The sequence below is a fragment of the Homo sapiens genome, chromosome 16 (genome assembly GCF_000001405.40).
Source record: "Homo sapiens chromosome 16, GRCh38.p14 Primary Assembly".
In the NCBI taxonomy this organism is placed as follows: Eukaryota; Metazoa; Chordata; class Mammalia; order Primates; family Hominidae; genus Homo; species Homo sapiens.
The window spans coordinates 76175487-76177378 of record NC_000016.10 but is presented as its reverse complement, the minus strand read 5'-3'; the positions used below and the strand labels follow the sequence as shown (position 1 = coordinate 76177378).

Genomic DNA, 1892 nt, shown 5'->3' with positions numbered 1-1892 from the left:
AATTTTGCAATGGTTTATAAGAAAAAGTTTTAACAACAATGCAATAATCTACAGAAATCATATAAAACTGGCATGTTGCATATGGAAAAAAAGAGAAGAAAATCTGTCACATATTTTTCTTTCTAGCCTCTCAAGTAGGTGGTAATAGTAGTTTCTTCTCTTTGTAATTGTAGAAAAATAAAGTAAAAACATAGCAACAGAAAGCATAGTCAAAATGCTTTAATGGGCTCTTTTATAACCCAAAAGAAATTTGCTACTATATTAGTGATGTTTTATTGTGTCATTGTGGTTTTTCATTAATAATATTTTTCTATATGTATTCTATAACACTGGAATCTATTGAGATTTTATGGTAAGTCAGATGCCAGGAGTATTTTATGGTAATATGATAGTAAAAAAAATAAGATCAAGGGAGTGTCATGCATTCATATATTCATCATAAGTTTCTAATGTTTAAGAATAGCCAGAACTGGCATACTCGGTGTATGATTCTTCATAATCCCTGGCACCTTGATTTTATAATTTTCAGCAGCCATCTGTGCCCTTACCGATACGCACACATTGCTTCCATCACTCTTCACAGCTCAGCATCTTTACCTGTCAAACTCGGGAATTACTATCTGAATGAATGAGATCAACAAAGCAATCTACATTGTGCCACCAAGCTGTCCTGGGAGAATGCAATATCCAGGTAATATTATCCCATAGAAGGCTTTGACTTTGTTATTAGTAAACAGGAATTTAAACCCCATCAACACTAGTCATTCTGGGTCAGACCTTGGGGGGAATAATCACTCCCAGATTCAGTTTTCTCAACTGTAAAATGAAAATGAAAATGAAAACAGTAGGCATTCCTTCCCAGAAATGGCGTATGCCTAAATAAAACTATACATAACAGGCCTCCAAGTTAGAGGCTGAATAGAAATCACTCCTGATATTCAGGTATATCCGTGCAAGAGGTGTATGGATTTCAGAGTTTACTGTGAACAGAGTGGCAGGCACAATGGAATACAACTCTAGAACCGATGGCTTTTAAGTGGCCAGACAAGACAGGAAACATCAGTGAGCTAGACCAAGAGGACAAAGAGGGAAGCGAGAGAGCAGTTCCTGCAGAGAAAACCTCAGGGTATACAGAGTGCTGGGCACATGACATCATCTATATGCTTTTGAGTTTTTGCATAGTCCTTTTCAACATTCTTCTTCATGAATTTTAGCAGATATTTTTGTGATAAGTGTCACTTCATTATTTTATACGGTTGTTACTTACCACAAAAAAAATCACTTGTTAAATTGGTCTATATCAGTTGCTTATAAAGCATCGCATCAACATCTACAGCTTAGTTACTGAGTTTTGATAATGTATAATCAAGTCTTTCTTAATTTACATTGGTCCTCTGCCTTGTGGTCTAGTGATGATAGAACTGGTTACATGAACTATTTCTGTTATGTTTAATCCTACTTTTTACGTGGTAAATGAGTAAACAGTATGTTACTGTGGCTAAGAGTAGGGGCTTTACAGTCAAGGGGTTTACTTTCTGGGTACGTGACCCTTGGCAATATTAATATATCTAACCCATAAGGCTTGTCATAAAAATTAAATGAGATAATAATTGTAGAGTACTTGGCAGAGTGTCTGGTACATGGTGATATGGTTTGGCTGTGTCCCTGCCCAAATCTCATCTTTAATTGTAGCCCCACATATCATAGGAGGGACCCAGTGGCACATAATTGAATCATGGGCGCAGGTTTTGCCTATACTGCTCCCATGATAGTAAATAAGCCTCACGAGATTGAATGGTTTTATAAAGGGCAGTTCCTCTGCACACACTCTTTTGCCTGCCTCCATGTAAAGACATGCCTTTGTTCCTCCTCCATATTATGCCATGATTTTA

At 36.7% G+C, this 1892-nt stretch overlaps 1 annotated feature.

Annotated features, from left to right (window-relative positions):
• Positions 1085-1184: a silencer, noted in NCBI's record as "silent region_7729". NCBI's record gives its function as "represses an Ori minimal core promoter by ATAC-STARR-seq in GM12878 lymphoblastoid cells {active_cell/tissue: GM12878}" and the evidence as "EXISTENCE:reporter gene assay evidence [ECO:0000049][PMID:35858748]".